We start from the raw sequence: 24,885 nt of genomic DNA, 5'->3' as shown, positions 1-24,885 counted from the left end.
AGAAAGAAAGAAAAGGAGGGAGGGAGGGAAGGAAAGAAGGAAGGAAGGAAGAATTCAACTGAATTTTGTGTGTTGATAGTGTGTTCTGCAACTTTACTGAATGTGTTTTATTAGTTCTAACAGTTTTTTTGGTGGAGTCTTTAGAGTTTTCTATATATGAGATTATATCATCTGCAAACACAGACAGTTCAATTTCTTCATTTCTGATGTGGATGTCTTTTATTTCTCTTTCTCACCTGATTGCTCTGGCTAGACTTCTCCAATGTTGAAAAGAAACAAAGCACACTTATCTTGTTCCTGATCTTAGAGGGAAACTTCAGCTTTTCATTGTTGAGTACGATGTTAACTGTAGCGTTGTCATATATGCCTTTTATTATGTTAAGTTACATTCTTTCTATGCCTAATTTGTTGAGGAGTTTTATCATGAAAGGATGTTGAATTTTGTCCAATTATTTTTCTGCATTTATTGAAATTATCATATGATTTTTATTCTTCATTCTGTTAATGTGGTGTATCACATTTATTGATTTGTGTGTGTTGAACCATCCTTGTACCCTAGGGATAAATCCTGCTTAATTATGGTGTGTGATCTTTTTAATGTGCTGTTGAATTTGGTTTGCTAGTATTTTATTAAGGATTTTTGGGTTATTGGTTGTAATTTTCTTGATGTGTCATTATCTGGCTTTGGTAAGAGGGTAATGCTGGCGTCATAAAATGAGTTTGGAGGTGTTCCTTCCTCTACAATCTTTTTTGGAAGAGTTTGAGAAGGATTGGCATTAGGTTCTTTAAATGTTTGGCAAAATTCACCTGTGAAGACACCTATCCTGGGCTTTTCTTTGTTAGGAGGTTATTTTTTATATATCTTTTCATTTATTTTTTTTTCTTGAGATGGAAGTTCGCTCTTGTCTCCCAGACTGGAGTGCAATGGTGCGGCCACGGCCCACTGCAAACTCTGCCTCCCGGGTTCAACAGATTCTTGTGCCTCAGCCTCCCAAGTAGCTGGGATTACAGGTGCCCGCCACCACACCTGGCTAATTTTTGTATTTTTAGTAGAGATGGGGTTTCAAATGTTGTCCAGGCTGGTCTCGAACTCCTGACCTCAGATGATCCTCCCCCCGCTTGGCCTCCCAGAATGCTGGGATTACAGATGTGAGCCACCGCACCCAGCCTTTATTATATACTTACTTGTTGCTTGTCTGTTAAGATTTTCTATTTCATCATGATTCAGTCTTGGTTGGTTGTATGTTTCTAGGAATGTATCCACTACTACTAGGTTATTCAATTCGTTGGCGTATAACTCTTCATAGTCGATTCTTGTGATCCTTTATATTTCTGTAATATCAGTTGTAATGTCTTCTTGTTCACTTATAATTTTATTTATTGAATCCTCTCTTTTTTTCCAGGTTAATCTAGCTAAAGATTTGTCTCTTTTTTAAAGCTCTTAGTTTGGTTGATCTCTTCCATTGTCTTTCTAGTCTCTATTTCATTTATTGACGCTCGAATCCTTATTTCCTTCTGTCTGAACCACAGAGAATGTAAATAACTTACCGAAGGGCACACAGCTTGTAAGAGTTTGCTAGGTTGCTATGGTCTGAATGTTTGTGTCGTCTAAAAATTCATACACTGAAACCTGATCACCAACGTGATAGTATTAGGAGATAGGGCCTTTGGGGTTGATTACATTATGAGGGCATAGTCCTCATTAATGGGATTAGTGTCCCTATGAAAGGCCCCTGAGAGCTGTCTTGTCCCTTTTACCATGTGAGAACACAGCAAAAAGATGGCCATTCATAAATTATAAAGCATTCCCTCACCAGACACCATATCTGCCAGCACCTTGGTCTTGGACATGCTGGCCTTGCAGAACTGTGAGAGATTAAAATTATGTTGTTTATAAGCTATTCAGCCTATGACATTTTTCATATCAGGCTGAAAAGACTAAGAGGTAGAGCCAGAATGATTTTTTCCTATCTAGCTGGTGAGTAGATTGGCCCCATAGGAGTGTTGGGCCCTGTTCCCTCTAATTCTCTTAGAAGTTTTTTTCCCCCAGCCTTAGGTAGTTTCCTTAAATGCATCTGCTGATAGATCCTCAAGGAGACCTACAGATCTCTGGAATTCTCTCTCTGTACAGCTCTCTCCTCTCTGGTGCTCTGTCCAATGAACCCTAGCTGCCTTGGCATCTCCATAGTCTCAGCTCTGTCTCCTCATTTTAGGAACTCCATCATGTTCCACCTTAGTTCTCTGTTCCTGCATTACAGCCTAGAAACTCTCTCAGGGCAGTAAACTGGCAATTTGAGGGCTCATTTGTTTCTCATTTCTTAAGCAATGCTATTCTTCATTGCCTGATATCTGGTATCTTAAAAGCCATTTTTAAATGTATTCTGGTTGTGTTAGTTGTTGCTGTTGTTTCAGGCAGGAGGGTAAATCTCAACCCTTTATTCCATCTTGTCCAACAGCAGAAGTCGGAGCATGCTCTAAGCACTTATCTATACTATCATCTACAGTGTGTAAAAAAGTGCATATGTTTTTCAAGAAATATGTGGCCATCCTTATTGCGTTATGTGGAACCATGATCCTATGTTACGGAGTTGCAAGCAGAGGCTGAAGGAGAAGTTTTCATAAAGACCTCTGTGGATTACAGAGGTAGAATCAATTGGCTTCGGGGCCAGGTGGTGACAGAATGAGACACAGAGTGAGAAGAGGCAGTCTCCTCACTTCCTCACAGAAGACAGTCTGACTGCAATGCAGTGAAGAATGAAAGGCGTGCTGAGCCATTTAAAAAGTTTTTGGTCTATTTTTATCAAAGATATAGATGTATGTCTTTAAAAATACAAATAATATGCTTATAAAGAAAGCAAAGAAAAGCAGTTCCTATCTCCTGATGCTGCTCTGCAGAGCAACAATGCTTTACATTTCTAGCTGCATATTCTGCCATTTACTTCTATTAAAACAAGCAAACAAAAAATGACTATGCTTGCTGTGGTGTTTGCATATCTTTGCACTTTTTCACTTTAGATTCCTGGGATTCGGAGTCTGGGCCAGGAACAATGCTCTTACAGAAAGCTGGTGATGTGGTTCTCTTAGCAACAGCCGAACAGAGCATTTTTCGCTAGCACAATCAGGGCACACCCACACGTCTCCAGAATTATCCAAGGGAGATGTTGTGTGGGACTCAGGGGAAAAGGGACAATTAATCTGTGACATCTGGGCTATTAATATTGATGTGTTGTCATTCATAACCACAGACTGGTGGGGCCCAGGGAAATTTGGGTTACAAATGCAATTTATGTGCTAAAATAGGACAGGAGCACAGAGAGGATACTGACTGTCAAAGGAAGTCAATAAAGCTTCACAGCTCAAGATAAGATTGGAGGGAGAAAAGAGAGTTCACAGGGTCTAGCGATAGAACTAAAAGGTGAAGAGAATTGCCTGTGCAGTGCCTGACAGATATGAAAGAGCAGCATGTTCTGCAATGCAAGAATGGTACTAGAAAGCTCAAGTGGAGAATCATTTTCTAAATGAGGCACAAGAGTGAATGATTTGTATTTGTTGGAATCCTTTGAGACCCGGGATGAGTTTCTCCACGGGGAAATTTAATTTGCTTCAGCCAGCCCTCTGAGGATACTTCTAATCCAAGATCACTGTAATTGAAATTCTCATTCTGAGGTTTTGAAGACGGCAAGAATTTGGTCTCTAGTATTTATAAGGGCCGGCTTTCAGTTTAAATTCTTCTCAGTGATTTCCTCCCTTTGCTTAACACCAATATTTGAGTTTATTTATTTATTTATATTTGTAGCCCCTGGGACCAGGGGCATTCTTTATATATTCTGCATATATAATTTGTCAGTTGTATGTATTGCACATATATTCTCCCCAGTTGTAGCTTGAATTTTCTTTGTCTTGATGGCATCTTTTGGTGGATGTCTTTTGTTAGACTTATTCTTAGGTATTTGATTTTTATGCTATTTAAAACTATATGATTCTTACTTTTAATGTAGTGAAAATTTTAATCTTTTATATTAATTTGATGCTGTTTTGATCCTATTTAAGAAATCACTGCATGCCCCAGTCACAAAGACATTCTATATCATCTTCTAAAAACTTTGTCTTATTTTTGCGTTTATATCTACAATCTATCTGAAATTGATTTTTGTGAACAGTGTGAGGTAAGGATCAAGATTAATCCGTTCATTGCTATTTAATCAACTCAACACCATTTACTGAAAAAATGTCTATTATTCACAGTGCCATCCCATCCCTATTTCCGGGCAAATGAACAGCTAAATGTACTGTTTATACTAGCCCCTTTTGTCCTTGTCATTCAGGATCATCCTGAATAAAGCTATAATGCCATAGCCACTCAAATCTGGCTGATGGCAGCTTATCGTGCAGAATAATCTGTACAGAGTAATATTTGTACAGAATAATAATTGTACAGAACAATGTGTAAACTAGTCCCAAATATTTTCTTCCCCCATCAACTAGTGATAGGGATGAGATGAAAGAGAGGTGACAATTCATCAGGAGTAGTTGCCACTTCCAGCTGCTCAAACTAAACATTGGAAGCAGATTCTCTGGAATGCTTACCCTTATCAATAAATTCCTATCTGGTTTAGTGCTCTTATAATTCATTCCCAGATATCTGTTTATGTAAATTGGCAAAATATTGTAATCCTTTGGTATGTAAGGTATCTCTTCTTAGGTTAATACATCCCCTTACAGAAGGGGTTTGTAATCAAGCAGCTTAACAGCTTAGCCCTAAATCATGTTCTAAAACTTTTATTTCTTTCCCCTTCTTCCTCCCTGCCCCCGCTTCCTCCTTAGGTTTCAAGATGCTGCTCTGAGATAAACTTGACAACCTCAGAATGTTTTCTTTCCTTCAGTCCCCTCCCTTTCCCACTCTATGTTCCCATGCCCTGTGCATATTTATTCACCCAGATGCTTGTTAAGCACACCTCATACTCACTTCTCTGGTCATATGTTTCCTTAAAAGCTTCAGAGGTCGGATCCTGATAGGGACCAGACACCTCCAGAATTCTCTCTCCAACAAAAGATTACTTCAAGTCCAGAACCCACTCCCAGCTAGAGACTGACTACAAGAGTGACTGCAGTACATTTATAACCTGGTAGGACCCACGACGGTGCCAGCCCCTTCACCAGATGGAAAAATAATTCAAGATGAGCCATTGGAGCAGATCACACAGCCTAGCACCTCCTAGGCACAGCCCCTCCCAACCTCTTCTGCATTTCAAACCCTCCCTTTAAAAAACCCCCTGTGTTCCTCCATAAATTGAGGAGTGGAATTTTTTTCACCTGCTCTTCCTCTTGCTGACACAAATAATAACATCTTGCTCTCTTTTTATCACACCTTATTATGATTTTGGCTTCTTTCTACAAGCAGTGTGCAGCTGGAACCTTTTGCCGGTTACAGGTTGATGAACTATGGCCCATGAGCAAACCCATTTTTATAAATAAAATTTTCTCAGAATACAGCCACGCCCATTTGTGCACATTTTGCTTATATCAGCTTTGGCAATACAACAGTGCTGAGTAGTTGTGACAGAGACTATATAGCTTGGAAGCATAAAATATTTACAGTGTGTTCCTTTAGGAAAAAAATGTGTCAACTTTTGCCCTAGTTGTAGGTCAAGAAGCTATGAGAGATGTTCAGTGTGTGTCTGAGAGCATCCAAAGATGCTTCAAGTGAGAACATTACAGGGTCTGCAACACAGGAGGCTAATCTTAGATGGCAAGGATAAACTACTTCTACCAGAAGGGAGGACTTTGGAAGTTCAAGTCTCTAAGTTTCGTTGGAATCCACACAAATGCCAACATCTCAACATTCAGATTCTTCTCTTTTTTCAATGTATGCCCTAATTTTTACATAAGAGACTTGACAAGGATGTGAACACAGTGTATGTTCTAATTATGTAATCCTCAGCATCTCATTTTAAATCTGTTCGTTTGGGACATGTCAACCCCTCAGAGTACAAGAGATAAGAGACTTACTCCTGGAACTCTGAAGGGAACCAGAAGTTCTCTGGTTCTCTAAAAGTACTTTGAACCAAGATTTTAAACCCATGAGCTTGTCTTGTTTCTTCTACGAGGTCTCCAGCATAGTCTGAAGCAGGTAGCCCACGCTTACAGTTAGTGTCATCCTCTTTTCCACCTTAAAGTGCTTCTGCGTCAACTACAGGTAAGAATTGTTAAGTAATTGTTTTTCACTGAATGCCATGGATTACTAGTATTCTGTTACCCACTAGTGTTGAAGTCATCACTGATTGCCTATGTAACCAGGCAGTACAACTAATTATAGTTTCCTTTAGGATCTCTTTACTGAAACCAATACTGATATCAAAGTCTCTATTAGTTAGGGTTCAGACAGGAAATCAGAAACTACTGTAGATATTTGGTCAGAAGAGATTTTATATATGTATTTAGATGCTTTTAAAACATCTGGAAGACCTGGAGGGAGGGGAAATCAGGAGGACTGCTGTGAGTTTCTAGAATATAAAGGATGTCGAAATCACAGTAAGCTTCCGTAGATATCAGCCATCTATGGTATGGAAGTAGGCAATTTCAGAAGCTTGTCTGGGAGCTGCTGCAAACTTCCTATCTGCCTTCTGTCCACAAGTCTACCTGCCACTAATAGTGAATAATGACTTCCACATCTCTTCTATTCCTCAAATATCATACAAGTGATATTTCTTAAATATCATTTAAGTGCCTTTCATCGGCAGATTCTAAACTAAACCTCTCCCCTCCCCTACCCCAAGAAGGGATTCTTTGCAACGTAATGCATATGCTTCTAAATTTTGGAGGAAAAATAATGACTCCTCCATAAATAAAGGGAAATCTCAGAGGCTTTGACTTGTTGAAGAACCTGCCCAGTAGTGGAGACACTGAAATATTCGGGTGGCCACTTGTCTACCACTATAGGTGACTGTTTATCAGTCCAGGGGCCTGGAAACTCCCAGTTCCGTTGACCAAGAGGGGCTTGAGCAAGGCAGTTGTAAGACAACACAAAGGAAGGGGCTAGCAACTGGCTATCAGAAAAATAATACTTGTAACTTTAGGGCAGAAGAAGGCAAGATCAATATTCCCCTAAGGGGAGGGCTAGAACCCACAACCCTAGGGGGAATGTCAACACCAAATATCCCAGAGTGTCTGAGGAGTAGAAAAAATACCAATGCTGAAAACTCAGAGTGCTCAAGTTTCAGCCAATGAGGATCCTCTCACCAAATGCTAGAAAGTCTGGGGCACTCAGGGGGCAGGTAACATTGAAACCAAGACCAAGTAGGGGACCTCTCACAAGCAAGAATCCTACCTTAAACAATTGCCCACATAAAATTAACAGAAAGTTAAAAGCAAACATAAGACTGCACTTATTTGAGGACTAAAAATGAAATGACTGATGTAACAATAAAATGGAGTGAGAAGATAGAGGACTAGGGGAAGAGGTGACAAGGACATGCTTTGGGGCACTCAAACAATGAGAGATTTCTAACTATCACCTAGGCAAAGGCTTTTATTTTATTCCCTAGTTCTCCGGATACCACAGGGGTGGAGGCAGAAGGAACACTCCCATCCACCAGAGCAGAAATGGCACCAACTGATCTTCCACATGGGACCCAGGGGAAGATCCCTCAGCATGGGTGGGCTCAGCTGCTGAGGTCAAAGGGGCCTGCATGGGGGCTGCTAACTCACCAGTCTGCCAGCGGAGCAGCAGCTATCACAAGAGGCAGGGGCACTATGGCCACCCCACCAGTGGGCTCAGCTTCCGCAGTGGGAGGAGCCTGCATGGGGCTGGTAATTCACTCTTCTGCCAGCTGGAGCAGTAGGTCCCACACAAACCGTAGCACTATGGCCACTTGCCCATCCGATCGGCTCCACTGCATGCCAGGAAAAATGATTGCTCTGAAAAGAGCCTTTGGCTAGCGTTAGAGGTTGGGTGTTACAGCTCTACTTGACTGCATCTCAGCTCATCATTCTGCCAACTACTGGTCCACAAACTGCCAGCCTGCTGACTGCCATCCCATCAATTACTGTCCTGCCAATCACTGTCCCGCCAATCACTGTCCCACTAATCGCCTGCTGCCACTGGCTGATCGCCGACTGCTGCCTCGTTGACTGCTGTTTGCTGACTGTCACCTTGCAGACTGCCACTTGCCAATTACTGACTGCCACTCAACGATCACTGACTGCCACCTTGCAGACTGCTGCTCACTGACTGTGGACTATCACGATGCTGTCTTCTTTCTTCACCCCATGTTGAGCACCAAGCTGATGCAGGGTAGGTGAACCCCCAAGTGGGGCTTAGTCTGTGAGGGTTCTTGGCTTTGCCCAGGAAAGAATTCAAGGGCAAGACGGAGGTAAAAGAAAACAGCTTTATTGAAGCAGCAGTGTTATAGCTCCATGACTGCTCCTGCAGAGCAGGGCTACCCCATAGGTAGAGAGTAGCAGCTCAGGGCAGTTTTGCAGTCATATTTATACCAGCTTTTAATAACATTCAGATTAAGGGGTAGTTTATGCAGAAATTTCTGGGGAAGAAGTAGTAACTATTGGGACATCAGGTCATAGCCGTGGAAAGGGGTGGTAACTCCTGGATGTTGTCATGGCAATGGTAAACTGACATGGCACACTGGTGGGAATGTCTGGTGGAAAGCTGCTTCTGCCCTGGCCCTGTTTTAGCTAGTCCTCAATTTGTTCTTATGTTTGAGCCCTGCCTCTGGAGTCAAGTCTTGCCTCCTACCTCACTGGCATTACCCCTCCCTGAAACCCATGCTGCATAGTTTACAGCTCCAAAAGAGATCCCTTCCTTCCACTTGAGGAGAGGAGACAGAAAAGTAGGGAGGACTTTATCTTGCAGCTTGGATACCAGCTCAGCCACAGCAGGAAAGGGCACCAGTCAGAGTCATGGTATCCAAGGCCTGGTATCCAAGATGCAAGACATTTCTAGACACATGCTGGGCCAGAAGGAACATTTTCTAGACATACTGTGGGCCAGAAGGGAACTCATTGCCTTGATGGGAAGAAGCTGGTCCTGGCAGGATTTGTCACCTACTAAATGAAGGGCCCTTGGGTCTTATGGGAACACAAGCAGTAGTCTGTCAAAACACCTTGTCGGCCTGAGACGAGAGTGGCCATAGGGTGAGGCTCCTCTGCCTTTGGAAAGGAGAGGGAAATATGGAAAGACTGTGTCTTATGGTTTGAGTACCAGCTCAGCTGCAGTATAATAGAATGCCAGGTAGAATTCTAAGGTTTTTTACTGTAGTCTCTGGCTTCTGGGTGGCATATTTGGACCTCCCCAGGGCCTGGGAGAACTTTCCACCCTAAAGGGAAGGATATAGACCTGGCTGGCTTTGCCACCTACTGATTGTAGAGCCCCAGGGCTGTGAGCGAATATAGACGTTAGCCAGAAAGAGGTTATAGCAGGCCTCAGATAAGACCCAGTGCTGTGCTGGCTTCAGGGCTCACCTAGAGCATTCCTAGAGGTGGTGGCCATAGGGGTGCTTGTGTCACTCTACTTCCCACTATACATGACTCAAAACAAAGAGAGAAGGAGACTTTGTTTGTTTGAGAGAAGGTAAGGGAAAAGAACAAAAATCCAGATAATTCTTCCAGATCTTGTCCAAGACCTTCAAGGCAGTACCTCTATGAGTCTGCAAGAACCACAGTGCTACTAGGCTTGGAGTCCCCGCTAAAGCAGATGCAGCTTAAGTCACAACACTCAAATCCTTTTAAATATTTGGAAAGCCTTCCCGAGGAGGATGGGTACAAACAAGCCCAGACTGTAAAGGCTACAATAAATACCTAACTCTTCAATGCCCAGACACAGACAATCATCTGCAAGCATCAGGATAATCCAGAAAAACATGATATCAAATGAACTAAATAAGGCAACAGGGACCAATCCTATGAACTTTCAGACAGAAAATTCAAAATAGCTGTTTTGGGGAAACTCAAAGGAATTCAAGCTAACACAGAGAAGGAATTCACAATTCTATCAGATATTTAACAAAGAGATTGAAATAATTAAAGAATCAAGCAGGAATTCTGGAGTTGAATATTGCAATTGGCTATTGAAGAATGCATCCATCTTTTAATAGCAGAATTGATCAAATGGAAGAAAGAATTAGTAAGCTTGAAGACAGGCTATTTGAAAATAGACAGAGGGGACAAAAGAGAAAATAAAAAACAATGAAGCATCCCTATAGGATCTATAAAATAGCCTTAAAATGGCAAATCTAAGAGTTACTGGACCTAAAGTGGAGGTAAAGAAAGAGATGGGGTAGAAAGTTTACTCAAAAGGATAATAACAGAGAATGTTTCAAACCTAGAGAAACATATAATATTCCAGTACAGGAAGGCTATAGAACACCAGGCAAATTTAACTCAAAGAAACCTAGCACAAGACATTTAATAATCAAACCCCCAAAGGTCGAGGACAAAGAAAGAATCCTAAAAGCAGCAAGAGAAAAGAAACAAAAACATACAACGGAACTCCAATACATCTGACAGGAGACTTCAGTGGAAGCCTTACAGGCCAGGAGAGAGTGGCATGACACATTTAATGAAGGAAAAAACTTTTAACCTAGAATAGTATATCCAGCAAAATTATCCCTCAAACATGAAGGAGAAATACTTTCACAGACAAAGAAAGTCTCAGGTATTTCATCAACACAAAAACGAAAAGTAAAGACAAAATTTAAAAAGTGGGGGACAAGCCAGGTGTCGTGGCTCACACCTGTAATCCCAGCACTTTGGGAGGCCGAGGTGGGCAGATCATGAAGTCAGGAGTTTGAGACCAGCCTGACCAATATGGTGAAACCCTGTCTCTACTAAACATACAAAAGTTAGCCTGGCATGGTGGCAGATGCCTGTAATCCCAGCTACCCAGGAGGCTGAGACAGGAGAATCACTTGAAACCAGAAGGCAAAGGTTGCAGTGAGCCAAGATCAGGCCACTGCACTCCAGCGTGGGCAAAAGAGCAAAACTCCATCTTAAAAAAAGAAAAGAGAAAAAAGTGAGGGAACAAAATTAAGGTGTAGAGTCTTTTTTAGTTTTATTTTGCTTGTTTGTTTTTGTTTGTTTATGCAAATGGTGTTGTTATTAGCTTAAAATAATGGGTTATAAAATAGTATTGGCAAACCTCATGTAACTTCAAACCAAAAAACATACAACAGATACACAAAAAATAAAAAGCAAAAAACTAAATCATATCACCAGAGAAAATCTCCTTCACTAAAAAAAAGACTGGAAGGAAAGACCAGAAAACATAATAAAATAGCAACAGTTATTACTTACCAACAGTAACATTGAATGTAAATGGACTAAACTCTCCAATCAAAAGACAGAGTGGCTGAATGGCTAAAAGCTAAGACCCACTGGTCTGTTGCCTACAAGAAACACACTTCACCTATAAAGACACATGCAGGCTGAAAATAAAGGGATGGAAAATAATATTCCATACCAATGAGAATGAAAAAAGAGCAGGAGTCAATATCCTTATTTCAAACAAAAGAGATTTCAAGAGAAAAACTATAAGAAACAAGGTCACTATATAATGATAAAGGGGTCAATTCATCAAGAGGATATAACAGTTTTAAGTATTAAGTATAAATGCACCCAACAGTGGGGCATCCAATATATAAAGCAAATATTATTAGAGCTCAAGAGAGAGATACACTCTAATACAATAATAGCTAGAGACTTCAACACCTCACTTTCACCATTGAACAGATCTTCCAGACAGAAAATAAACAAAAAAACATTGAACTTAACCTGTATTATAGGCCAAATAGATCTAATAGATATTTGCAGAGCATTTCATCCATAGCCAAAGAATTCACATTCTTTTCCTCAGCACATGGATCATTTTCATGGATAGACAATATGTTAGGTCAAGAAACAAGTCTTAAAAGATTCAAATAATTGAAATAAAATCAAGCATTTTCTCTGACCATCATGGAATACAACTAGAAATCAATAACAAGAGGAATTTTGGAAACTATACAAATACATGGAAATTAAACAGTATGCTCCTGAATGACCAGTGAGTCAATGAGGAAACTAAGAAGAAAATTGAACAATGTCTTGAAACAAATGATAATTGAAACACAACATACCCAAACCTATAGAATACAGCAAAAGCAATACTAAGAGGGAAGTTTGAACTTCTAAGTGCCTGTATCCAAAAAGAAGAAAAACAACAAATCAACAATCTAATGATGCATCTTAAAGAACTGGAAAAGCAAGAGCAAACCAAACCCAAAAATGGTAGAAGAAAAGAAATAATAAAGATCAGAGCAGAAATAAATGAAATTGAAACGAATCAAACAATCCAAAAAAGCAATGAAATAAAAATTTGTTTTTTTGAAAAGTTAAAATAGACATTTAGCCAGACTAAGAAAAAAGAAGATCCAATTAAATAAAGTCAGAGATGAAAAAGAAGACATTACAACTGATACCACAGAAATTCAAAGCATCATTAGTGGCTAATATGAGTAACTGTGTGGCAATAAATTGGAAAATCTGGAAGAAATAGACAAGTTCCTAGACACAAACAACCTACCAAGATTGAACCATGAAGAAATTCAAAACCTGAACAGACCAACAACAAGTAACAAGATTGAAGCCATAATACAAAGTCTTCCAGTAAAGGGAAGCCCAGGACCCAATGGCTTCACTACTAGATTCTACCAAACATTTAAAGAAGAACTAACACTAGTCCTCCTGAAACTATTCTGAAAAATAGAAGAGGAGAGAGTACTTCCAAACTCATTCTGGAAATCCTAGCTAGAGCAATTAGACAAGAGAAAGAAATAAAGGGAATCCACACTGGAAAGGAAGAAGTCAAATTATTTGCAGATGACATGATCTTATATTTGGAAAAACCTAAAGACTCCACCAAAAAACTGTTAGAATGAGACACAAATTCAGTAGAGTTGCAGGATACAAAATCAACACATAAAAATCAGTAACATTTCTATATGCCAACAGTGAACAAACTGAAAAAGAAATAAAAAATTAGTTCCATTTACAATAGCCACAAATAAAATTAAATACATAGGAATTAACCAAAGAAACAAAAGATCTCTGTAATGAATACTATACAATACTGATGAAAAAACTTGAAGAGGCCACCAAAAAATGGAAAGATATTTCATGTTCATGGATTGGAAGAATCACTATTATTAAAATGTCTATACTACTCAAATCAATCTACAGATTCAATGCAATTGTTATCAAAATGTCGATGACATTCCTCATAGAAAAAAACCCTAAAATGTATATGGAACCACAAAAGACCCAGAATAGCTAAAGCTATCCTAAGTAAAATGAACAAAACTGGAGGAATCACATTACCTGACTTCAAATTATACTACACAGCTACAGTAAGCAACACAGCATGGTACTGGCATAAAAACAGACACATAGACCAATGGAACAGAATACAGAACCCAGAAACAATTCCACACACCTAGTGAACTCATTTTCGACAAAGGTGCCAAGAACACACACTGGAGAAAAGACGGTCTCTTCAATAAATGATACTGGGAAAACTGGATATCCATATGCAGAAGAATGAAATTAGACCCCTATCACTCACCATATAAAAATCAAATCAAAATGGATTAAAGAATTACATCTAAGACCTCAAACTCTGAAACTACTATAAGAAAACATTGGTGAAACTCTCTAGGACATTGGTCTGGGCAAAGATTTCTTCAGTAATACCCCACAAGCACAGGCAACCAAAAGAAAAATGGACAAACGGGATCTTATCAAGTTAAGAAGCTTCTGTACAGTAAAGGAAACAATCAACAAAGTGAAGAGACAACCCACAAAATGGGAGAAAATAATATGTCTATAAGCGTTTTGTATCAAGAGTACATAAAAATTATTACAACTTAACAAGAAAGGAAAAAACAACCCAATTTTGAAAATAGGCAAATTATTTAAACCAAGATTTCTTTGAAGAAGATATATAAATGGACGATAAGCACATGAAAAACTGTTTAACTTAACAAGTCATAAGAGAAATGCTAAACAAAAGCTCAGTGAGATACCACTTCATACCCACTAAGTGGGCTATAATCAAAAAGTCAAGTAATAACAAGTGTTGACAAGGATATGGATAAACTGGAACTCTCAAATATTGCTGATGGGAATGTAAAATGATGTCTTTGCTTTGGGAAATAGTTTGGCAGTTCCTTAAAATGATAAGCACAGAATTACTACGTTACCCAATAATTCTACTCCTAGAATATATCCAAGAGAACTGAAAATATGTCTCCACACATAAATTTGTTTATGAATATTCACAGCAATATTATTTATAATAGCCAAAAAGCAGAAGCAACCCCAAGTCTATCAGTCGATGACCGTATAAACATAGATAAATTCATCCATATAACAGAATATTATTTGGTCATTAAAAAGAATGAAGTATGGATCCATACTACAATACGGATGAATTCTGAAAACGTTATGAATCTAGGCCCAAAAGGCCACATATTACATGATTCTAATTATGTGAAATGTCCAGAATAGGAAAATCTACAGAAACAGAATATAGATAGTGTTTGCCAGGGGCTGGAGGCAGGGAGGTGGGGGGGGGGCGGGTTTAGAGATTGTTTGCTAATGGATATGGGGGATTCTTTTTGAGGTGATGAAATGTTCTGAAATTAGATAATGATGATGGTTGTACAACTCTGAATAAACTGAAAACTGCTGAAGTGTACACTTTGAAAAGGTGAATTTTATGATAAGTTCTGTATACGTCAATGAAAGACATATGAAAAATTTAAACCATATAGTACATGTGATACATGTAATAACAGAAATATATCCAAAAAATAGAGGTATTACATGAGGTGAATAACTCTATAGGGAGGACAATCTCAGATAAAATGAGGAGAGGAGGTCACACCTGAGCCAGATTTTGAATAATAAATTATCAGGCACAAGAAGAGAGTGTTTCAGGTATGGAACTATACGTACAAAAAAACTTACATAATGTGGAATTGTTGAGATATAATATATATGACAAAGAATTACAGGAGATGGGCTAGACAGATGGGTACAGTTAGGGAAACTGGTCTTCATTTTGTAAACAATGAGAAGCTATTAAAGACTTTTAAGAAAAGGAGAGAAGAAAAAAATGCATATTAGAAAGGTAATTTTAGAAGCAACGTGGAGGACAATTTTTAGGATGGCAAAAGTGCAAGTAGACAGACAAATTAAGACACTATTTAAATAATCTAGGTGAAAGGTCATGAGTACCTAAAATGAGGTTTTTACAAGGATGAAGCAGCACAGTTAAGGTCTGGAGTTATTGCAGCATACATTTGACAAGATTGGATAACTCGTTATTGTTTCTTTATATCTTCTATCTAAAGTCAAGAATGACTCCAGGTTTAGGTATGTTTACTTGAACTAACAATAAAATTTACCACTCAACTAAGGGACAATAACAGGAAGATCAGGTTTGTCAGGTAGGAGCATGAATTCAATTTTGGACATGTTCTTAAGGGCAGTAGCAGGTTAAAACATTTATTTGGTAATTGAATTTATAGACCCAAGGCTGAGAAAAGAAGACATCAGAACTAGATATGAAAATATAGGGAGTATAAACATATATGGAGTCATGGAGACTATGACAAACTAGACATTACAAATCCTATCTAAGGCATCAAATTAAAAAAACAACAATAAGACCTCTCTTTTCTGGGTACTGCATTTGGCCAATAGGCAACAGTTGGTGAATTCTGTTAGAGGTGATAGTTAAAAACAAAAAAGTAGATGAAATATTCCTGAAGAGCACCTAGAGTAAAAACTAAAAGATATTTTTAAATAGAAATTTAGGAGGTATGGAAATTTAAGGGTTGAGCTGAGGAAAAGGAAAAAGATCCAGTGAAGGAGACTTAGAAGGTGAAATTGGAGGTTGGAAGCCCAGGAGAGTATGGTTTTACAGAGAGCAAGGCTGAAGAGTGTTTAAAAAGTGATGCTGTAATCAACAATGCCAAGTGTGGGCAGAAGTCAATTAAGATAAAGTCTGAAAAGTCATCATTAGCTTTGACTATGGCTATAGAAGCATGATTAATGGCTACAGAGGAAGGGGAGTGGAACTGCAGAAGTGAGATTAGAGTGTAATGAGGAATGCCTGAATGGCAAGGAAGAAGAATTAGGGTTAGTGAAGATAACTCATTAGAGGAGAGAGAGAGAGAGGCAGAGAGAGGAAAGGAAGGAGTGATATCTGGACTAAGTATATGTAAGCTTGTGCATACAAGAAAGAAAATTAGGTAAAGAAAAAACTTAAAAGATGTTTAGAGCTGTCTGTCTGCCACTTTCAGTAATATGGCAAAGTATATCCATGCCTGAATAAAATATGAAAAAATGCTTTAAAGCATAACTACAGCATAAAGTAGAGGACATAATTGGAAGTCAGATTTTTTCCCCAATTTTTCATTGTGGTAAAATACACATAAATAAAAATGTACCATTTTAACCATTTTAAAATAGAATTCAGTGGCATTAAGCATATTTACAATATTGTACAACCATCACCTCTGCATTTCCAGAGCTGTTTCATCATCCTAAACATAAACTCTGAACTCATTAAACAATAACCTCCATTCCGCGCCTGCTCCTAGCCTCTAGTAACCTCTATTTTACTTTCTGTCTCTATGAATTTGCCCTTTTAGATACCTTATATAGGTGGGATCATACAATAATCTGTCCTTTGGTGTTTGGATTATTTCACTTAGCATAGTAATTTTAAGATTTATCCATGTTAAGTAGCATGTATCAGCATTTTGTTCCTTTTTAAGGCTGAATAATATTTCATTGTATATATACACCACATTTTCTTTATGTTTACCTGTTGATGGGCCTTTTGGATTGTTCCTACCTTTTGACTATTGTGAATAATGCTACTATGAACATTACTGTTCAAGTATGGGTTTGAGTTCTTGCTTTCAATTCTTTCAGGTATATATTAAGGCGTAGAATTGCTGGATCCTTTTGTAATTCTATATTTAGTTTTCTTCAGGAGCCAACAAACTGCAGAGTCTGCACCAGAGGAAATAATTTTTAAAAGCTATTCCCTCAAGAGAAAAGGAACTCTTGAGCTGGCATTTTCCCCTGAGCTGATGATTGCTATTTTAGAGCTTGGGTTTAGTCCATTAATATTTGACATAACTATTGATATTGTCAGATTGACATATACCATCTCAGAATTTGTTTTTATTTGTCCCTATTTGCAACTTTTCTGTTTCTCCTTTTCTACCTCCTTTTTAAAAATGTTAATAAAATATTTTAATAAATACAGCAGGGTTTAAGGTAATCATTGTTTGAACAAAGGAGAGTGGTTTGCTTTCTAATATACTAGTTTACATCCAACATCTTTAAAAAAAAAGTTTATTATCTTACCATGAATGATATGAAATACTAATTTGGCCAGTTTTTTTCCCATTCAACATATCTTTGTATTATCTTCCCCCTCCCATACATATTTTAAAATGGTATAAAATTTTTGATATATTGAGGAAAAGCAATTGATTATGTAAACAAAAATGTTCACTTTTTCAGAAAAAAAGCTTTCATTGAGTTACTCAGACAGTTAGCAATGTCACCTGCAAATACAGAAAGCTTCACCAGGAGGCTAAAAGCTCATTTGAATCACAAAAACAGCTTTAAAATGTAGCAAGGAAGAGGATCAGTGAGATGCTAGTTTTAATACATCACAAACTTGAGCTCAGCTCATCCTACTGAACTTCTGCATGTACAACCCACTCCAGATATCACCATTCTCTCAACACGATGCTACGTGATGATGAGTTAAATGAGTTAAGCAGCCTACTGAGGACCTTGGGCATATGGAGGAGTCAGTCCACCTGCAGCCCTCAAACCACTGTGGCCACATTGCCCTAACCCCTGCTCATCACTCACTGATATGCTTATCACCCTGCAGCCAGAGGAGGCTTTTCACCTTCTTTTAAATGAATTGAGTTGTGTGGGGTTTTTAAAAATAATTTTATTTTGCTTTCTCTAGCTATACCTGTAAGATTAGTTTTTAGTGTTGTTCTAAAGATTACAATCTACATCTTCAACTTATCATAGTCTGTCTTAAAACAGCTTTATACTACTTTGTGAACAATATAAGAATCTTACAACAGTATGGTTCTATTTACCCCCTGCCCCCACATATGTTGTGTTTTTGTTGTGTATTTTACTTCTACAGAAGTTATAAACCCCACAATAGTATAACTTATATTATATAAACATATTATTTCTGCTATAAGTAGTTCATAGTCTTTTGAAGAAATTTAGATATAAGTATGTATGTTTTTATCTCTTAAACATAATGAAACTTTTTTTTTTATTTATTCACAAACCTTCCTTGTGTCCTTCCTTCAGTTCTGAGCTTCCATTTGGTATTATTTCTCTTCAGCCTGAGCAACCCTTTTAACATTTCTTATAGTGCAGATCTTTTGGAAATAAAATAGCTCCACTTTCATTCATCTGAAAATGTCTTTATTTTGTCTTTGCTTTTGAAGGATGTATTTTACTATATATAGAATTCTAGGTTGACATTCTTTCTTAAAGCATTTAAAAGTGGTCTTTCCATTGTCTTCTGGCTTATATTACTTCTGATGAGAAGTCAGCAATAATTCTTATTGTTTTTCTCTGTATATAATATGTAATGGTTGCTTTTAAGATTTTATCTTGGTTTTCAGCAGGCTGAGTCTGATGTTCTTAAGTGTGTTATCTAGGGGCATATGTGTGAACTTGCCTGAAGTTTGCTGACAGTTTTTTTAACTATTTTGGAAAATCTAAATTATCTCTCCAATAATTTCTTTTGCCCCATTTTCTCTTCTTTCCTCTGCTACTCTAATTACATACATGAGTCCTATAGACCTCAGATATTTTGTTGTATTTTCTGCTTTCTACTTGTGTGTTTCAGTTTTTATGACCTTTATCATCTTCAAGTTTACAGATATTTTCCTCCTGTGTGTCTAGGCTGCTATTGATACCATTGAATGAATTTTTTATTTATGATAGATATTTTTTATTTTTGGCACTTCTATTTGATCCATGTTTATAGTTGCCATATCTGCCGATATTCCTCATATGTTCGTGAATGTTTTCCAGCTTTTCCATCTTAATACATTTTCATGGTTATTTTTAATCCTTGCCTGATAATTACATCTGATCTACCTCAAGGTCTGCTTCTTTCCTGTCATAATCATGGGTTCAATTTTCTTGCATTTTTATGTGTCTCATCTTTGTTATTGTTGTTGTTTGTTTGTTTTGCTTTGAGACAAGGTCTTACCTTTCACCCAGGCTGGAGTGCAAGTGGCATGATCATGACTCATGGCAGCTGCAACCTCTCAAGCTTAAGTGATCCTCCTACTTGAGGATCAAGTGAGCCACCTGAGTGTCTGGGAACACAAGCTTGCACAACCATGCCAAACTCATTTTTTTTTTTTTTTTGTAGAGGCAGGTCTCATTATGTTGTCCAGGCTGGTCTCAAACTCCTGGGCTCAAGTGATTCACCTCAGGCTTCTTACAGTTTTGATTGTACATTGTGCTCAGACCTTTCCCAAATTAACATTGGCCCAGTGAAGCTGGGAGCAGTGCAGAAAGAGGAGAAAAATCTCTCTGAGGCACTCTGAGCTTTCATTGAATGCAAAGCAGCAATTGCCAAAGGTTGGAGGCACAGAAGGAGAGCTAAGAGAAGTCCCTTCAAGGCTCTATAAGCCATTTCCCAGAGCAAAGCAGTGATTCTCCAAAGACTGGAGGCAGGCTAGTAGGGCATAGAGAGATGGTATACAGACATACCTCATTTTATTGTGCTTTGTAGTACATAAAAGAACAAAAGAGACTGAAGTAAATGATATTTTCCCCAGAAAATTACTCAGCCCTTATCCTGTCAGAATTCTAACAATCCCTAGCTCTGTAAAAGCACCAAGTAAGTACAAGTAAGACATCAGAAATTTCCTTGCTAATTTATAGCACAGACAATTTTTCTGAACCATGAGAGATTTCTCTCTGCTTCACAGTCTGGATTCCAGTTTTTTAGTCACTGAGAATTTCTCTTTGTTCTTCAGTTCCATCTCATTCTTTATATGGCTGATATGAATTGGCTGTGTCCCCACCAAAGCTCATCTTGAATTGTAGTTCCTGTAATCCCCACGTGTCATGGGAGGGACCCAGTGCGAGGTAACTGAATCATGGGGTTGCTTACCTCCATGCTGTTCTTGTGATAGTGAGTGAGTTCTCATGAGATCTGACGGTTTCATAAGGGGCCTTTTCCCCTTTTGCTCAGCACTTCTCTCTCCTGCTGCCAAGTGAAGAAGGATGTGCTTGCTTCTCCTTCTGCCATGATTGCAAGTTTCCTGAGGCCTCCCCAGCCATGCATAACTGTGAGTCAGTTAAACCTCTTTCCTTTATAAATTACGTGGTCTTGGGGATGTCCTTATACCAGCATGAGAACAGACTAATACAATGGCCATACCTTGGACATATTGCAGGTTTGGTTACAGACCACCACAAAGTAACAAATACCACAATAAAGTGAGTGACACCAATTTTTTGGTTTCCCAGTACACATAAAAGATACATTTATACGATCCTGTAGTCTATTAAGCATGCAATAGCATTATGTTAAAAAGTACAATGTACATATCTTAATTAAAAAATACTGTTGCTAAAAAAAAAAAAAAAAAGCTAATGATCATCTGAGCCTTCAGAAAGTCATAATCTTGCTGATGGAGAGCCTCGCCTTGATATTAAGGGCCTTGCTCTGGATTTTGCTTTGGCTTAAAGGAATGTTGTAGCTGGTTTAATCTTCTATTCAGACCATTAAACCTTTCTCCATGTCAGCAATAAGGCTGATCTTTCTTATCATTTGTGTGTTAACTGGACTAGCACTTTTAATTTCCTTCAAGAACTATTTATTTGCATTTACAAGTTGGCAAACTGTTTGGCACCAGAGGCTTCCCTTTCAGCTATCTTGGCTTTCCACATGCCTTCCTCACTAAGCTTAATCATTCTAGCTTTATATTTAAAGTGAGAGATGTGAAACTCTTCCTTTCACTTAAACACTTAGAGGCCATTGTAAGATTATTAATTGGCCTAATTTGTATGTTGTTGTGTCTCAGGGAATAGAGAGGTCCATAGAGAGAAACAGAATGATGGCTGCTTGTTAGAGCAGTCAGAACACAAATTTATTGATTAAGTTCAGTGTCTCGTATAGGTAGAGTTCCTGGTGTCCCAAAACAATTCAATAGTAACATCAAAGATCACGGATTACAGATCACCATAACAGATACAGTAATAATAATAAAGTTAAAAATACTGTAGAAATACCAAAGTGTAACACAGAGATATGAAGTGAGTGAATGCTGTTGGAAAAATGGTGCTCAGTGTGGAGTTGCCACACATTTTCAATTTGTAAAAAAAAAAACAAAACAAAAATCCAAAAAAACCCCCACAATTGCAAAATTCAATAAAGCAAAGCACAATAAAATGAGGCTTGTCTGTACACCATCTGTATGCCCTACTGGCCTGCTTCCGGTCTTTGGAGGGTCACTGCTTTGCTCTCAGTAATGGGTTACAGTGCCTTGAAGGGATTTCTCTCAGCTCTCCTTCTCTGCCTCCAACCTTTGGCAATTGAAAGTTCAGAGTGCCTTAGAGAGATTTTTCTCCTCTTTCTGCACTGCTCCCAGCTTTGCCAGGCCAATATCTTAATTTGGGAAAGGGCTGAGCATTTTCTAAGCTCTTTTGCTCTCCTCTCAGCCTTCCATGTACTATCTATGTTCCCTTGGTGAAGGCCTGTGTGCAACGCTGGGGACATGATAGTACATGGCAGATAGGGGCCTGCTCCTTCTGTGGTTAGGGCTCCTTGGGATTCTAACTCATCATGCTAGTTCACATTGCAGTCAGTAAAAAGCCAGTAAATATGGCCAGTTTCTCCTTACCATCTATTATGATGTATTCCTTTCTCTTTTAGTTGTTCTGCTAGGATGAAAACAGCCATAGATCTCTACTCTGAAAAGAAGGGCTCTTTACTTTCGAGATTTTTAGGTTTAGATTTTAGTTTAGTTAGGTTTCTCTCCTCAGGTCTTTTGCGGGTTTTAAAAACTATGATACTCTGATTTTGTAGCTTCCTGGTTTATCGTTGTTGACAGGGTAGCAGCAACAGTCTCTTGTGATTCGAAATTGGAAAGCCTGGAACGTGAGTTTTGATAGCCTGTAATGGATAGGAGACAAAGTTTGGATCCTAAGAAGGATGGGGAGTTGAATCTAAGATTCTAGCCTAAGCCAGAACTTGAAAGGTTTGATGTGGAATCTAACCACTCCAAGGCAAACTTGTCTGTTTGGGCTTGGCTCTAGAATAAATAGGGGGGAAAATCTCTGAATTTTAAACCACAAACCCACATTCATGTTGGTTTGGTGACGTAATTCATGCTAACTGCAGGATCTGAATACAAGCATGCCAGTATTTCATTTCAAAGTAGCCTCAGGTATTACCCCAATTCCTAGCAGAAGCAAAGCAAATCCTCTCTGCGAAACATTGATTTCAGCTCTTTCTGTACTTAGAACAGCTATGATTCATCATCCTGAAGTATGCAGCAGCTCCAAAGCACTGGATGCTGAAAACTGACCGGTGTGTTTGCCCTTTGGACATCCACTGGCCCTATCAAGCTTCTCCCTCTCATCGCTTCCCTAAGAAACAAGCACAAGTGTGCTTCTTACAGAGGAGGAAGTAAAAAAAGATGTGCATGCAGTGGGTTATTAAAACGGATGGCAGGCTCCACAGTGATGTGAGCTACCCTGCCAGTTTTATGCCTGTCATCAACATTGACAAGGCCGGTGAGAATTTCCATCTGATTTGTGACCCGGAGGTCACTTTGATTTTCATCAAATTATGCCTGAGGAGGCCAAGTGTAAGTTCTGAGAAATAAGAAAGATCTCTGTGGGCATCACCTAGATTGACATTTTCCAGATTGATTTGGAGCTTGGTCAAATTAATTAGCCATTTCACCAAGTTCTGATAACCCGTGTATGTTGACTGAAAGTGCTAACCTGGAACAGATCGGCGTAATCACCAGCAGAAAGAGAGCACGAGACAAAGAGAGAGGCAACCTGACTTTTTTAATATGGTTCATGTGAAAGATGTCAATGGCAATAGCTTTGCCATCCAGCTTTCCAACATATTCATTATTGGAGAAGACAATAGACCGTGGATTCCTTGCCCCAAAGAAAAGATGCCTGCTTCCTCATTGCTGGAGACAGTGACAGTCTAGAAGCCAAAAAGGGCAGTGAGTGAAATGAGCTCTAGATGGGAGAAGTGAAGAACTTCTAGGGGCTAATTAAAGATATAAAATCATAGAAGTAAAAATGAAAACATTGCTTTCAGAGACTTTCTGCTGAAGGAACATGTATTTGTATTTTTTTAAAAAAATTATTAAAACACGTATGGAAACAAGCCCAAATCAACCCAATCCAGCAGAAAAAAAGAGTAAACTGGAGGAGCAGAACCCCAAGATTGACCCTGGAAGTATTAGATACAGATGATAAAACAGGAATGTTTAATCTACCTTAATCTCAGCTGCATGAGTTAACATGAAAATCTTAAAATCATAATATTCAATGAAAACAAGCAAGTCCAAAATCAGTAAAATGGAGAAATTAATTTTAGTCTATTTATAAAACACAATACCATCAAGCAGTTTTAAAAATGCGTGAATGAATCTCAGAAAAAGAATAATGAGTGGAAAAAAGCAAGTCAGAGAAAAATAAATACAATGTGAGTTATTTTACACAAGTTTCAAGACCTGAACAAATTACACATTATATTGTTTAGAGATATATCATATTATAAAACGATTTTTAATAGCCAATAATTTACAATTTATCCAGGTGGGAAAAAGAAGGGGAAAATCAGAGAGGAAGCATAGTTGGCTTCAAGGATTTATTTGGTTATATTTTATTTCTTAAGCCAGGAGGCGGTTATACAAGTGTTTCATTTTATTAACATTATTTAAATATATAAGTACATTTTACTCATTATTTTGTAAAAGTGATTTGGTTTATTATTATTTTAAGCCCTCAAATCTTTTTTTAAGGTGAGCAGTTTAAATCTTTGTCAGAAAGACTTCACAGTATAAAATTGTTTCGCTTTTTCGGAAGACAAAATATCAAGTAGGTCCATCTAGTGGTGAAGTAGAGAATCTCACATGCAGAAATACCCTAACTATGGGATTGCCCTAGGACGAAAGGCTTTTATTCAAAAACAGCCCATTCAAAAACCATTACACAAAGACGAAGGAAAAAAAAACAAAGCAAAACAAAACTTCATTAACCAAGTAAAGAATTCTTTGTTTTCAGAATCACAGTAAAATTCTTCACTCTGACTCTAGATTGTTGAAAGACAAAAGAACAGGCTGGGTGCAGTGACTCACGCCTGTAATCCCAGTACTTCGAGAGGCTGAGGTGGGTGGATCACTGGAGGTCAGGAGTTCAAGAACAGTCTGGCCAACATAGCAAAACCTCGTCTCTATTAAAATACAAAAATTAGCCGGGTGTGGTGGTGTCTGCCTGTAGTCCCAGCTACTTGGGAAGCTGAGGCAGGAGAATTGCTGGAACCTGGGAGGCGGAGGTTGCAGTGAGCCGAGATTGTGCGACCACACTCCCGCCTGGGCAACAGAGCAAGACCCTGTTTCAAAACAACAACAACAACAACAACAACCGTAGGCAATTTGTGAGGCCCCAGCCTTCTTTGTCCCCATCACTTTCACCTCTTGCTGGTGATTTTGTTTCCCTCACTCCAGGTGCTGTGGCACATTCCTTCAGGGCTCCTGTTCTTCATTG

General features: G+C 38.5%; 1 pseudogene, besides 1 other annotated feature; it reads left to right on the top strand.

Annotated features, from left to right (window-relative positions):
- RPS4XP12 (ribosomal protein S4X pseudogene 12) lies at window positions 22,632–23,341 on the top strand (annotated as a pseudogene).
- Window positions 24,114–24,673: an enhancer, noted in NCBI's record as "NANOG hESC enhancer chr11:121119641-121120200 (GRCh37/hg19 assembly coordinates)". NCBI's record gives its function as "activates a minimal SCP1, AML or CMV promoter by ChIP-STARR-seq in naive H9 embryonic stem cells {active_cell/tissue: H9 hESC(naive)}" and the evidence as "EXISTENCE:reporter gene assay evidence [ECO:0000049][PMID:30033119]".

Source organism: Homo sapiens, chromosome 11 (assembly GCF_000001405.40).
Source record: "Homo sapiens chromosome 11, GRCh38.p14 Primary Assembly".
NCBI lineage: Eukaryota > Metazoa > Chordata > Mammalia > Primates > Hominidae > Homo > Homo sapiens.
The sequence above is the reverse complement of the archived record's forward strand: the minus strand, read 5'-3'. Positions and strand labels throughout refer to the sequence as shown.